General features: G+C 40.7%; 1 protein-coding gene across 2 annotated transcripts in view; it reads right to left on the reverse strand.

Moving 5' to 3' along the window:
- Nucleotides 1-15,495, reverse strand: part of ANKH (ANKH inorganic pyrophosphate transport regulator) — a 166,979-nt gene that overhangs the window by 121,904 nt on the left and 29,580 nt on the right. The gene's annotated exons all lie outside the window — the stretch shown is intronic.

Here is a 15,495-nt window from a genome sequence, read left to right on the forward strand (position 1 = left end):
GTTGCATGCCAAGTAAGAGAGCAGATTTTCATATTAATTCTTAAAATTAAACTGAAAAATGTTTCTGCTTTAGAGTGAAACCATAAACCAAAGTCAAAACCATCGATTTGCTCTCCATATGTTCTGACTAACATCCATGTTCTTTTCTGCTTCCTGGGCCCCCAGCTAACCTGCGTTTCCCACGTCCCTCTGCAGTTAGGTGGGGCCATGTGACCATTTCTGGCCAATGGAATGTGGGACTTTTGAGAGTGTGAGAATGTGGGAAGTCTGGTCTCCAAAAACTCCTGACCAAACCTCTTCCCTCACCTGCCAGCTACAGGCTGAAAGTCAGTGAAGAACTCAGAGGGCCTAGAATACAGCAGAACCACTGTCTCCAAGGAACCTCACCGACCTGGGCTAAGCAGCTGAGCGGTCACCACTGTGCGCTCTGGCAGTTCGCACACTCCAGTCCATGGCTTCTTCTTTCCGCGTGACTCTGACATACTCCTGTTAACAGTAACACCTAAGACTTTTACCAAGGGCCACTGCTCTAAGTACTGCATATACATCTTAGCTCTTTTAATTTTCTCAACAATCCTCTGAGCCAGGTATTTCTTACAGCTGAGGAAGGTAAAACAAACATTTTAAGTGATCTGCCTCAGGTGCACAGCCAAGGTAAGCTGATGAACTGGGGCTGGATGCAAATAGCAGTCCAGCCAGCCCTAGAGTCCATATTCTCAGCTGCTAGTCTAGGCCTTTTAAAGATAAATGCACACATATGAGACATGCCGCTGTGGCATTATTCACCTGAGTGTTACGCAGGGTCAGTCCAGGCATAGTTGAGAAGAAGGCTGTGGCTGTCAATAAGGGATCCCCAAAGCCCCTGCTGCGGGCACATCCCATTTCCTTTGTTAACCAGGTATCTCATCAGGTAGCAGATAACTGGGTGTCTCATCATCTCCTTTGGCTTCCTAGTGCTTCCAACTTAAAGGATCCTCTCTGGGCATCACTAAGGTTTTTGGACCTTTGTTGTATTTCTCCTTATATCAAAACTGTTGTCCTAAGACCTATTTTTTTTGGGAGATTCTACTCACTGAGTGCTGATAACTCAGTGATCTGATACATTGTATCAATGTTCTCTTTCTCTCAGATTATCTTTTATTTCAGAGGCCTTCAGGGACAATGCCATAATCTGAAATGGTAACTTGATTGCCAACAGTTTGCAACATTCCCAGGTAGGTGTAGGAGCCATATCTGTTTGGATAAAGAAGAGTATTTGCATATCTCAGATCATACCACGTGGGCACCTGTTCCGGCATAAGATAAATCACATCAATTACAGACAAACTAAAACATGTTGCTTTGTTTCTAGGCTGCGGCTACAACACTCTTATGTTAAGCACTACCATCTGCTTTATGCCATTCAGAAAAAGAAATCATGGTAATCTCACCACATGATGAGGAGTGTGTGACAGGTCAGCTTGGATGCCAGGCAAGGGTATTTCCTAACATTATAAACAAGCTTCTGGCTGGGAGTGGTGGCTCATGCCTGTAATCCCAGCACTTTGGGAGGCCGAGGCGGGCATATCACTTAAAGTCAGGAGTTTGAGACCAGCCTGGCCAACATGGTGAAACCACATCTCTACTTAAAAACAAAAACAAACAAACAACAAAAACAACTATAAAAATCAGCCAGGCATGGTGGTGGGTGCCTGGCGCCTGTAATCCCAGCTACTCAGGAGGCTGAGGCAGGAGAATTACTTGAACTCAGGAGGTGGAGGTTGCAGTGAGCTGAGATTGCACCACTGCACTCCCACCTGGGCAACAGAGACTCCGTCTCAAAAACAAACAAAAAAACAAACAAACAACAACAAAAAGTTTCCTCTTCTTTTCTTTTCTTTCTTCTTCTTTTTTTTAATACCATAATGCAGTTCTTTACGCCTATACCATGGAATGAAACCATCAGCAATATGTCTTCTAATAAGAATCTCACCACATGGAAAATTTACTTGTGAAAATATATTTAATGGCCTGGACTCTAGACATACAATTGGAAAATATCAGCTTATTAAAATAAAGCTCATCCCCTTGCACTATATCCAAATCAGAGGGAGAAGAACAAGCTAGAAAACAACTTTGCCCAAGTCATAGGTACATATCTTTAAGGTCTGAATTACTCAAGAGAATTTCTTACATGGTAACATTCAGAAGAAGCAATTTCTGGCTGGCTGCAGTGGCTCACGCCTGTAATCCCAACACTTTGGGAGGCCAAGGCAGGCAGATCACGAGGTCAGCAGATCAAGAACAGCCTGGCCAACATGGTGAAACTCGTCTCTATTAAAAATACAAAAATTAGCCAGGCGTGGTGGTGGGCACCTGTAATCCCAGCTACTCGGGAGGCTGAGGCAGTAGAATCGCTTGAACCTGGGAGGTAGAGCTTGCAGTGAGCCCAAGACTGCGCCTTTGCACTCCAGCCTGGGCGACAGAGAGAGACTCTGTCTCAAAAAAAAAAAAAAAAAAAAAAAAAGCAATTTCAAAGCATGGACCTCTACTGCAGTTTTTGTTAATCTATGACTCTTACTGTCCATTGTAATGAAGAGTACAAGAGAATCCAGAAAGGCTTACCCAGAAATACTTATTTTGCTGTACAGATGCCTGAAGTCCCCCTGTTCTCCTTCTTCAAGCTTGATGGTCAAATTTCTAGAATAATTCATCAAACAATCAAAAGCTGAATGTGCTACACAGTTAAGATTCAGCTTCTACTGAAAAATGTCAAAGTTCTACAAATAATACAGGTTCTGAGATATGAAAGAAAAAAGTGTCAAATCTTTACTTTATAAATAAACTACCAAATGCTTAGGAAGAATGCATTTGGGCGAGTTGCCTGTTCTCGTGCAGCAAACCAACAGAAATGCCTGACATATGATCTAGAATTCACTTCTGCCAGGCTAGGGCTGCCCAACCACAACACATCTTGAGTGTCTTAAGAATCAGTCTTTGAGAAAACCTCCTCACAAAATCATTACATAAAAAGATTTGTTGCACATTTCCTGCGTTTTATTTAGACAGGTACCTGAGACCAATATAATCTGTCCTCCCCATCCTCAGGATAAATAGAAGACATAAAACATGAATACCTTCTGTGTTTTCATCAGTTTATAATCTCATAACTGAATAATAATTTCAGCAAGCAAAACATCCACCTAGCCTCTAAAATGACCATTCTCAATATTAGCAAATTAACCATTTCATATAAACCCAGGGAATTATCAATATTCTATTTCTGATTCTGGTTTTGCAATTTCTGGATTGGGCAAGAGGAAGAGTCACTTATCTTTTGTCTGTATGAGAGATGGAGGCATGAATTGATGTGAAGAAAGTCCAGTGTTTTACCTTGGAAAGCACCTCACTAGAGGATATACTAAAATCAGCACAACAGACTGAACACATACCTATGGACGACTACGAAGCAAGAATTTTTATGTGAAGGTAGTAAGCAAAATTGTTACATAGACGTCCTTCTGTGTATTTGAGGCTGCCTTTCAAAATCATCCTCTTTTATTCCTGGGCTCACTGGGCAGCCATATCAGATCGAGAAGACACTGCTGCGGCTTGCCCCGTGTTGAACTTACCTCCTGCCCAGTACACGCACCCACACAGGCTGGAATGACCGAAGGTGGCGACAGCATGAGTAGGAGGTAATGAAAACGTGTCCAGTGCTGGGAAGAGTCCAAACCAAACACAGTCCTAGGCTGCAGTGGGGGAAGGAAGTGGCTGGAAAGTTATTCCCTGATGGCTTGGATATTTAAATATTGTGAGGTAGGGGGAGTGTGTGTGTGTGTGTGTGTGTGTGTGTCTGTGTGTGTGTGAGTGTGTGCAGACTTAGGAATAAAAAACAACACTGCTAACTTAGAAAGTTAGAAAAATAATTTGGTCATAACTGAAAGAGAATAACAGCAAGTCCGACTAAGATAGCACGGAGCTGCTTGAGAGCTCCAGGCTGCAGCTCTATTTTGTATGTCTATTTTCCCAAACTGCCTCTCCACTGACCATTTTCCCAAGCACTGCCCAGAAAGGAATGTCACTGGCCCTACTGGTGAAACACTAAATCTGATTCACCACTTTACCCCCAACATCTAGTCTGGTTTTTGGCATCCAAAGGGCACCAACGGTCCTGCTTTGCCTGGGACTCGCCTGGCTTCAGGACTGAGGGTCACAGCCCAGGAAACCCTTGGTCCCGGACAAACTGGGTCAGTTGGTCACTCTACAAGGTGCCCCATGTGGAATCCCTTCCTCAGTATGCCTTCATAGAAAGTTAAATCATTCACTTTTTTAAGGGCAAAAAAAGAATTTTTTGAATTTCAGCACCAGGTACTTCCTCTGGAGTTGATCAGAATGAGGACAAGGATAGTTCCTGCTGAACAGCTCCTGGCTGGGCCACAAATGCAGTTTTCTACTGAGTGGGACTGTGGTGTCCAACTCAGGAGACCTTGGAGAGTGACAGGGAGCCCTAAAATGAAGGGTGTGAAAACTTCACAGAACCGGAATCGGACAGCCAGCCAACCCTCTGCATTCCTATTGGAGGAATTCTATATATATCCCATCATGAATGTTTGTATGAGGAGCTACTTAGGTGAAAAACTGCCTAAAGATGCCCCTATTTGGCATTTTTATTATTATTTTGCCTCTCTTAGCTAAGTCATTAAATGCCTAATACAAAGCAACTTTTCTGTGTTTCTCATATCTCCGCACCTTGCTGTAGTTGAGTTCACTGGTGACTCAAGGCACTAGAATGACATTTGCTGAAACTGATATCATCCACAGTTCCATGATCCCCCTGGGGGACGACGGGGGGCCTTTACTGTATTTATAGCTGTGATTGCCATGGTGCCAAAGGGATCCATGGTCAAATGCTCAAGGGGGGCCCTGCACACCATCCACACCAGAGAAATCCTGTGGGACAGGAAACCATCTTCAATGTAGTCAGCTTAGCACTGTTCAGATTTACTTGATCACAGGGTCCAATTTTCACCCAAAACTTATTATCCTGCAGCAAATTTTGAAACACTTGCTCAACTAAGGCACAGAATTGAAAACAGTGTTTTCCTCAACCTACATATTCACCGTGCTAATTAAGGAAAAGCAGTTACCAAACCATGGAGTATTTCCCATATATGAATCTTTTTCATCACCAAATTAAATTATTAAGAAAGATAAGGAAGATGAATGAACTTTCAGGAACAAAGACTAATAAATTACAAGACATACTTTGCTTTTACCCTAAAATTTTTTGGGAAAATGTTCTGGCCCAGCAAAATATTCAATTCTTGATGGTATTTCTCAACAGCTCATAATACCAGCAGTGCACACAGCTCTACTCAAAATTACAGTGAAATTTCCTGGCAGCCCCCTTCTAAGAAAAGCAATTTTTAATCAATAACCTCCAAATACAGGTGGTTTATATATATATATTTTCTGGTCTGAAAAGTCATACTAAGAAATCATTCCTTAAGCAGTTATCTTTACAAAGTAGGACATAATTTAAAAACTAAAAACATAACAAAAATACTTAAAAGCTATTAAAAAGTTGCTGCCACAGACAAAAATTTTATTGTCTCTGGGAATTCTGACAGTTCTCCATGTGCAAATAAATATGCTTTCCACCACTGCGATTTTTTATAAGCTCCCAAAATAGCTGCAGTGAGGGTTAAAAAACATTTCTGGATTATAAACAAGCAGCATCCTTTTCAAAAAACTCAATAACCGAAGTCAATTATTAAATTGCTAGTTCATGGTCCTAAGGGTAGAGGGGAAGTCAAAATAAACAGATTACATTCAGTAAGTAACGGAGTTATAGAACCATTCAAGTCACCTAGAAAACACAGTATGAGAATTTAAAACAAATTCTAATAGATTTATTTAAAAGTGCTGAAGAAGGAGTTGGAGGAAGTAAGTTTCCAAGAACGGATAAATTAAATTTTAATTACCATTCATGCTTTTATTTTCTAGTTTTCAAGTTACCATTTATTTGCCTGTAGAGTTTGTTGGGCTGTTACAAATAACGATCTTTGTAACATTTGAAGCAAGGAAAGCAGAAACAAGATTCACAATGGGGAGAAAATATCTGTTCCACTGTGAGAGCAATGAAACATCTGGAAAGAATATGGCTATCGAGATACTGAAAAACATACCAACACCTAAGCTTTCTGAAAAGGAGAAATTTGTCTGCAAAAATTATTACTAGCCGACCTTCCCGTGGACAACTAAAAAGTAGCTAGTCACAACTGAATGCCTAACAATTTCTGGTGCTGAATGTTTTCAATTTCTTGATGAAATCACAGTGCTGCTTTGATGGGCCCCAAGCTTGGCCCCACAACCTGCACTATTATTCCTATTGTCTCAGATGGATCAGTTGGCAACAAACAGAACCACTCTAGGCATGATGGCTTCCCTTCTACTCACATTAAGGCTTGCAATGGATTATGTCTTCAGATGTTCAGAGGCAGGTAAATATTCATTCCATTCTTAAGTTATAGCATTGCCATATATTTTGGAAGTTCTATCAGAGGAATTAAGACTAAAAGAACTAGCTTGGTATGCTCATTAAAAATGAGCTGTCTGTCTTGATATTCCAACACGCCTGCTTGCTAAAGCTCAGGTCTTGAGGAGGTTTCATTCATTCACACACAAGGGTGTTCGCTATTCATGGGAATGGGTAATAGACTAGTAAAAGGTTTAGTCTCCTACCCTGCAGAGCTTGTTAGGCTCTCAGACATATCAATCTTTATGGCATTTAGAGCACAGGAGGCCAAAACGAGATTCTCGCCTGCTCCTCCCCCAGTCTGGGTATATGGTCCAGGGTGGGCTCCCAAAGCTACAAGAGAAAAGGATGAGGACTACCTTAAGTATTCAGGGTGAAAAAGGCTGCTGCACCACCTCAAAGACAAGTAGTGATATCTGCCAGAGACCTTTCAAAATAGCCAAGATGTCACTCTGTGGACTGGCCAATGCTGGGCCTGAGGGAAGTGAGCCAAACTGACCTGTAGGCCCTGCCTTGCTTATAGTATAATGCAAAGCAGAAAAGTACCTCATGCATAGTTACATCCCCTTATGGACCATTTCTTTACTCAAGAAGCTTACCTACCTACGTGCAAAGGAACTGTTGGGGCCCTGCAGTCCTCCAACAGCAATCTACCTTCCCTCTCATATTAAAACCCTTTTCAGTAATGCAACTGCCTCAGAGTTGGCAGCACGAAAGAATCAGGAAACCAAAGAGAATTGCACGGGGCTTACGTGGGGCTCGTGCTGACCTGCATTCACCCACATACAAACCTGACCTAAATGCAGAGCACGGCTCACCTTCCACAAAATCCACTGGCATCTTTAAAGTACAGGGGCAGACTTCAGTTATTTTATATAAAATTGAAAGGTACAAGGAAAGGAGGACTAATGAAGTGGTAAAGAACAAGAGCTCTACCCTTAGACTGTCTGGGCACAGACAAGAGCTCTGCTGTCTGACCCTAGACAAGTGATCTCACATCTTTGACCTCAGTTTCCCATCTGTAAAATGGAGACAATGACAGGACCTGCGTCACAGGGGAAAGCATTGGTAAATGCTCAGTCTCTGAATGGTCTGGAGTGATGAGGCCTCCACAGAAGACAATGCCTGTTATGATTACTATTGCTAATTACATTCAAGGTAAGCATGCCCCAAAGACTACAGGAGAAAGGACACTGTAACGTTAGAGGAAAAACCCATAAATACTGGGGATTTACTAGGGAATTTCTTAAGATTATTTTAAAAATATAAAGATCTGGCCGGGCGCAGTGGCTCATGCCTGTAATCCTAGCACTTTGGGAGGCTGAGGTGGGCAGATCACATGAAGCCAGGAGTTCAAGACCAGCCTGGCCAACATGGTGAAACTCTGTCTCTAAAAAATACGTAAAAATTAGCCAGGTGTGGTGGTACACACCTGTAATCCCAGCTACTCAGGAGGCTGAGGCAGGAGAATCACTTGAACCCAGGAGGCTGAGGTTGCAGTGAGCAGAGATCGCGCCACTACACTCCAGCCTGGGTGACAGAATGAGACTGTGTCTCAAAATAAATAAATAAATATCTATTGTGTCATCTTGGACATGTGCCTTAGTTTCCTCATCTGGAGAAAGAAGATAATAACAGTGGCTGCTTCATAGGATTATTTAGAAGATTCGTGAATTAATAGACTTATAAAGCACTCTGAGCAGTCACCAGGAACACTGTCAGGGCTACATAACTGCTTGTTTTAGTACCATCATTAAGACAAAAGCACGGTTCTCAAGTAAAACAGCCAAAGTAGGAAAGAAAAGGTTATTTACTTCAGTAACATTACTTTAATCAAGCAAGATTAACCATTACTTCTGATACTAGTACAACTCATTTACATTTTTATGGTGATGTAATCTTTACAAGTTTTTTAAAAAATAATTCTGGATTAGTGCAGAGCTCGTTAAATTTTAAAGTGCTTCACATATGTATATTTTATGACCAGGCTTAACTGGAAACCACATATATTTTTAATTCTGTTGAGACTGAAAGAGATGAGTGTTGCTCAGCGAGATGACTGCTGTCCCTCTGGTTAGTCACAGGAATAACCTGCCTCTTGGAAGAGTCTGTTCCATTGTAAAAGGAGCCCTTTGAAAAACCCGCAGTCCGTGCCCACAGACAGGTTGAAATGCTTCCCGAGTTCAGCACTACTGACTTGAAACCATTTTTGTAATCAGGCCCTTCATCTTTCCAGACATCTCAGTGCGTTCAGTGGTGAAAAGCCACATGAATCCTACACTCTTCCCTAAGAGACTGAGGGTCCTGTTTCCCACCCAGAAACTCTGATGCTGGGTTACTATGCGTTTCTGGCTGGTGAGATTCTGGCAGATGCTCCTGCTGGCTACTAATCACTTTTCCTGTTTGTCTTTCTGCTTAACTAGTCATGCTCTTTGTCTTCTGACAAAATCACAGCCCAGAAGTACAAAGAGGAACTGGTACCATTCCTTCTGAAACTATTCCAATCAATAGAAAAAGATGGAATCCTCCCTAACTCATTTTATGAGGCCAGCATCATCCTGATACCAAAGCCTGGCAGAGACACAACAAAAAAAAGAGAATTTTAGACCAATATCCCTGATGAACATCAATGCAAAAATCCTCAATAAAATACTGGCAAATCGAATCCAGCAGCACATCAAAAAGCTTATTCACCACGATCAAGTTGGCTTCATCCCTGGGATGCAAGGCTGGTTCAACATATGCAAATCAATAAACGTAATCCATCACATAAACAGAACCAAAGACAAAAACCACATGATTATCTCCATAGCTGCAGAAAAGGCCTTTGACAAAATTCAACAGCCCTTCATGCTAAAAACTCTCAATAAACTAGGTATTGATGGGACGTATCTCAAAATAATAAGAGCTATTTATGACAAACCCACAGCCAATATCATACTGAATGGGCAAAAACTGGAAGCATTCCCTTTGAAAACTGGCACAAGACAGGGATGCCCTCTCTCACCACTCCTATTCAACATAGTGTTGGAAGTTCTGGCCAGAGCAATCAGGCAGGAGAAAGAAATAAAGGGTATTCAATTAGGAAAAGAGGAAGTGAAATTGTCCCTGTTTGCAGATGACATGATTGTATATTTAGAAAACCCCATCATCTCAGCCCCAAATCTGCTTAAGCTGATAAGCAACTTCAGCAAAGCCTCAGGATACAAAATCAATGTGCAAAAATCACAAGCATTCTTATACACCAATAACAGACAAACAGAGAGCCAAATCATGAGTGAACTCCCATTCACAATTGCTTCAAAGAGAATCAAATACCTAGGAATCCAACTTACAAGGGATGTGAAGGACCTCTTCAAGGAGGACTACAAACCACTGCTCAACAAAATAAAAGAGGACACAAACAAATGGAAGAACATTCCATGCTCATGGATAGGAAGAATCAATATTGTGAAAATGGCCATACTGCCCAAGGTAATTTATAGATTCAATGCCATCCCCATCAAGCTACCAATGACTTTCTTCACAGAATTGGAAAAAACTACTTTAAAGTTCATATGGAACCAAAAAAGAGCCCACATTGCCAAGACAATCCTAAGCCAAAAGAACAAAGCTGGAGGCATCATGCTACCTGACTTCGAACTATACTACAAGGCTACAGTAACCAAAACAGCATGATACTGGTACCAAAACAGAGATATAGACCAATGGAACAGAACAGAGCCCTCAGAAATAATACCACACATCTACAACCATCTGATCTTTGACAAACCTGACAAAAACAAGAAATGGGAAAAGGATTCCCTATTTAATAAATGGTGCTGGGAAAACTGGCTAGCCATATGTAGAAAGCTGAAACTGGATCCCTTCCTTACACCTTATACAAAAATTAATTCAAGATGGATTAAAGACTTAAATCTTAGACCTAAAACCATAAAAACTCTGGAAGAAAACCTAGGCAATACCATTCAGGACATAGGCATGGGCAAGGACTTCATGACTAAAAAACAAAACAAAAGCAATGGCAACAAAACCCAAAATAGACAAATGGGATCTAATTAAACTAAAGAGCTTCTGCACAGCAAAAGAAACTACCATCAGAGTGAACAGGCAACCTATAGAATGGGAGAAAATTTTTATAATCTACCCATCTGATAAAGGGCTAATATCCAGAATCTACAAAGAACTTAAACAAATTTACAAGAAAAAATCAAACAACCCCATCAAAAAGTGGACGAAGGATATGAACAAACACTTCTCAAAAGAAGACATTTATACAGCCAACAGACACATGAAAAAATGCTCATCATCACTGGCCATCAGAGAAATGCAAATCAAAACCACAATGAGATACCATCTCACACCAGTTAGAATGGCGATCATTAAAAAGTCAGGAAACAACAGGTGCTGGAGAAGATGTGGAGAAACAGGAACACTTTTACACTGTTGGTGGGACTGTAAACTAGTTCAACCATTGTGGAAGACAGTGTGGCGATTCCTCAGGGATCTAGAACTAGAAATACCATTTGACCCAGCCATCCCATTACTGGGTACATACCCAAAGGATTATAAATCATGCTGCTATAAAGACACATGGACACGTATGTTTACTGCGGCACTATTCACAATAGCAAAGACTTGGAACCAACCCAATGATAGACTGGATTAAGAAAATGTGGCACATATATACCATGGAATACTATGCAGCCATAAAAAATGATGAGTTCATGTCCTTTGTAGGGACATGGATAAGGCTGGAAACCATCATTCTGAGCAAACTATCATAATGATAGAAAACCAAACACTGCATGTTATCACTCATAGGTGGGAACTGAACAATGAGAACACTTGGACACAGGGTGGGAAACATCACGCACCAGGGCCTGACGTGGGGTGGGGGAAGGGCGGAGGGATAGCATTAGGAGAAATACCTAATGTAAGTGATGAGTTAATGGGTGCAGCACACCAACATGGCACATGTATACATATGTCACAAACCTGCACGTTGTGCACATGTACCCTAGAACTTAAAGTATAATAATAAAAAAATTACCTAACGCTAAACGACGAGTTAATGGGTGCAGCACACCAACATGGCACATGTATACATATGTAATAAACCTGCACATTGTGCACATGTACCCTAAAACTTAAAGTATAATAAAAATAATAATAAAATTATATATATTAAAAAAGTATAATTAAATAAATAAACAAGAAAAAGAAAAAAAAATCACAGCCTGGAGCAGTGCTCTCCAACTCCAGAAAACCACAAGTCTCTTGGACTCAAGGGGTATGTATGTCCTTCTCAGTGTGGGCCTGAAGCGGCAAAACCCTGCTGGGGCACACGTGAGTGGCAGCCCCTGGGGGACCCCACGCCTGCTTGGGGGCGCCAGAGAGGAGGCAGAGGATGGGACAAGCTGTAACACAAATACCCAGTCCTGAGGGGAGCTTTGCTTAATTCCAGCTGGATTATTTTGTTTGGCAGACGACTCTGCACACTTTCTGATAAAGGAGGGTTTAGAAATGGTTTATTTTTTTCAATAAATCACTTAATGAGCATAACAAAACACTCCGTGGTGTGAATTTTTCTGCCAGTGTATACAAACTGCAGGTGTGCCCAGGAAAAAACCCAGCCAAGTCCCTCCCAGCCCCTAAGGTGTGCGTATGTTGGCCAAGGAACCGACTCGCTATCCACGTGAAGGCAAAGACCTGAAGACTTGATTATTTGTTAATGTTAAATGACATTACACTCCCTTCGAACAACAACCCAAGTGAAAAACTATTCGTAAAAATCTCAGCAAAGATCCTTAAAGTGATTTTGACCCAGTTATCCAATAGACCCTTACCTCACTTTTAGCAAGCTGAGCCTTGTGCCATGTTAGCTTAATGGCGGGGAGAGTCTTCAAAGTAAAACATGGGACATACGAGGTAGTGATGTATGTATGCAGCCATAGCGACCACAGCACTCACAATCTTCACATCCTGACTTGAATCCTTGGATTTAAACCTAAGTGCCAAATTCAGAATATGTAAACTAATTTTTTATTTCTGGAAAGATTATGTTCTTTCATTATAATCTTTAATATCAAGAGTAGCGAAGACAAGTAAAAATGCTAACATCGATAAGTTAAAACTTCATAACTTGAATACATACAGACACACACGCACAGACAGAGTTTTGGCTCAATGTCTTACTTGATCTCTTCAAAGAAATGGTATCATAATATATTCTGCCAAGCTGAGGCTAGATGCTTCTAGCCTCAACTCAAAGTCTTATCAGTTAAAAAAAAAAAAAAACCCACAGAGATTCCTTTCTTTCGTCTTCAGTATAAGAAAGGGTTTTTGTTTGATTTTGTTTTCATGGCTGGCTAGATTTTGATCAGTCTCCAAACTCATGTTACCTTCAGACTGAAATCAAGACTACCAAAGCTCAAGCCGTCAACTTTGTCTTTCCTAGAAGAAACTTCAAGACACTGGAAAACAGAATGAAAGTCCTAATGGCACTCATTTTTAGCCTTTCATCTTCAATATTCTAATTTTGCACTGTAAATAAGATACTTTGTGCATTTGAGGGTGTCTGTGGGACACAGTATTTATTGTGATGTGGGAAGAGATGTAAAGATGCAAGCACGTACCCCATCAGAGGTAGAAACATGACCCTGACTGGCAAGTACCATCTCACCAACAGCAGCTCAAATCATAGAAAATTACCAATGTCTGATTTTTGTGATCAAACCCAATAAATGTTCAGGCTGACCTTGTCCAAGACACTTATCCAAGACCCCACTGTGAACATCACAGAAATCATCCGATAATAAGCAAAGGAATATACAAGAAGTTCTTAAATATACAAGAAGTCCTTTAAAAAGGGAGCTCTTGCCTTATAAAGGATGGAAGATAACATTTGCTCTCATCCTTACCACGCCTCTCTGAACATGCTGGGTTTGCTCATGAAGAGATCCAATGCTCTTCTATCCTCAACAAGTGAAGTGTCTGGCCAGGGCAAGGAATTTCCATAGCACTTTTTAAGAACAGTTTATTTTTTCCTCTTTCTGTATTCAAGATATAGTTTAAAGATTTTTAAGAAGGAAAGCTATAGTATTCCAGCAGGGTAGAAGTGTCCACCATTTTCCATTTTGCCCTAGGACAAAACCAAATTAAGTTGTTTGTGCTGCATTTTTCTAGGAGGAAGGTGACTGTTGAACATGGAAAAATAAAAAAACACACATTATTCTTTTCTGGATTCAGAGCTCTACCAAATTCTGATGTTTAGAATCTGGATTTTACCATATGAGATTTGGGATCCAAAGTATATTGAGTTGTGCATTTTCTTGATTTGTGACAGTTGTTCTAATGGTTTACTTAGCTGCCTGTTTCAAGCAAAAGTGGATGCTTATGAATTTGCTTCATAAGGTGGTTTCTAGAAATGACAAATGATCTGATTTAGCGAGTATTATTACACATTTTCAAATTATCTGCTTCAAAATTCTACTGACACATCAGGTTAAATGAGCTCTCCCTGGCTTTCTAATGATGCCCAGGCATTTACATGCCCTTCACAGTCAGTAGGAAAGTGGAAGGTTCTGACACCTAAAGACAGCCAAGGGGCATCCTGGAAGGTGACTGCAAGGGCATCTATGGAAAGGGAAAATGAACGGGAAAACAGGATATTTCTGAGTGGCGCCTCAGACAAAAAAATCACAGCTGCTTTACTATACTATGCCATTTGGTTTTTTATAACTTGACAGGCTAACACCTTAATCATGGTCTTTTCTCCTTCAGCCTACAACACATGTCTGAAAGTTTTGAGCGGGGATATATATGACTAATATGTATGAGGATACTAATTGTCACTACTGAGAGGACAGATTTTACAATCATTAGGTAGAACTGAGCAAAAAAATGGGTAGAGGAATGAAGAGCTGACAAAGTTTTATTTAAAAAACAAAAGAAAAAACTTAGGCCTCTTAAGAGCTCCAAGGAAAAATAATTAATGCATAAAATATGTGATAATATTTTATACTTATTTTTTAAATCATGATAAAATAGACATAACATAAAATATAACATTTATTTTGTTTTTTTTTTTAGATGAAGTCTCGCTCTGTCACCCAGGCTAAAGTGCAATGGTGCGACCTCGGCTCACTGCAACCTCCGCCTCCCGGGTTCAAGTGACTCTCCTGCCTCAGCCTCCCAAGTAGCTGGGATTACAGGCATGTGCCCCAACGCCTGGCTAATTTTTGCATTTTTGGTAGAGATGGGATTTTGCCATGTTGGCCAGGCTGGTCTCAAACTCCTGACCTCAGGTGATCCATGCACTTTAGCCTCCCAAAGTGCTAGGATTACAAGTGTGAGCCACTGCATCAGGCAAAAATTTACCATTTTTAAGTGTGAAGTTCAGAGGCACCAAATCCATTCACATTGTTGGGCAACCATCCACACCATCCATCTCCGGAACCCTTTCTGCCTTGCAAAACTGAAACTGTGTCCCCATTAAACACTAACTCCCAATTATCTTTCCGCCAAGCCCCCAGCAACCCCCATTCTACTTTCTGTCTTTATGGATTTGACTACTCTAAGTACCACATATGAATAAAATTAGACAGTATTTGTCTATTTGTGACCGGCTTATTTCACCTATGGTAGTCTTGAAGGGTGGTCTATATTGTGGCATGTGTCAATATGTGATCATTTAGTTCACCAAAATCCTAGAATTCCAGAATTAGGTGTCAATTCCAAAGTTCTAGGGAGTTAGTCTTAAGAAAAATAAAAAGGATTCGTTCTTTACAAAGGGATAATAAACCTTGAGCAATTTGTACCACAAAAAGATAAAAAAAGCTAAACAGATAAATGCTTTCACTAAAATTAGACAATTCCTAGGAAAGAGATATATAGGAGGCTATTTCCTGGGAGGAAATTTATACCACCATTTCAGCCTGCTGTAAGGTGGAGATGGTAGACAGCTAATTAGG

Source organism: Homo sapiens, chromosome 5, assembly GCF_000001405.40.
Source record: "Homo sapiens chromosome 5, GRCh38.p14 Primary Assembly".
Lineage (NCBI taxonomy): Eukaryota > Metazoa > Chordata > Mammalia > Primates > Hominidae > Homo > Homo sapiens.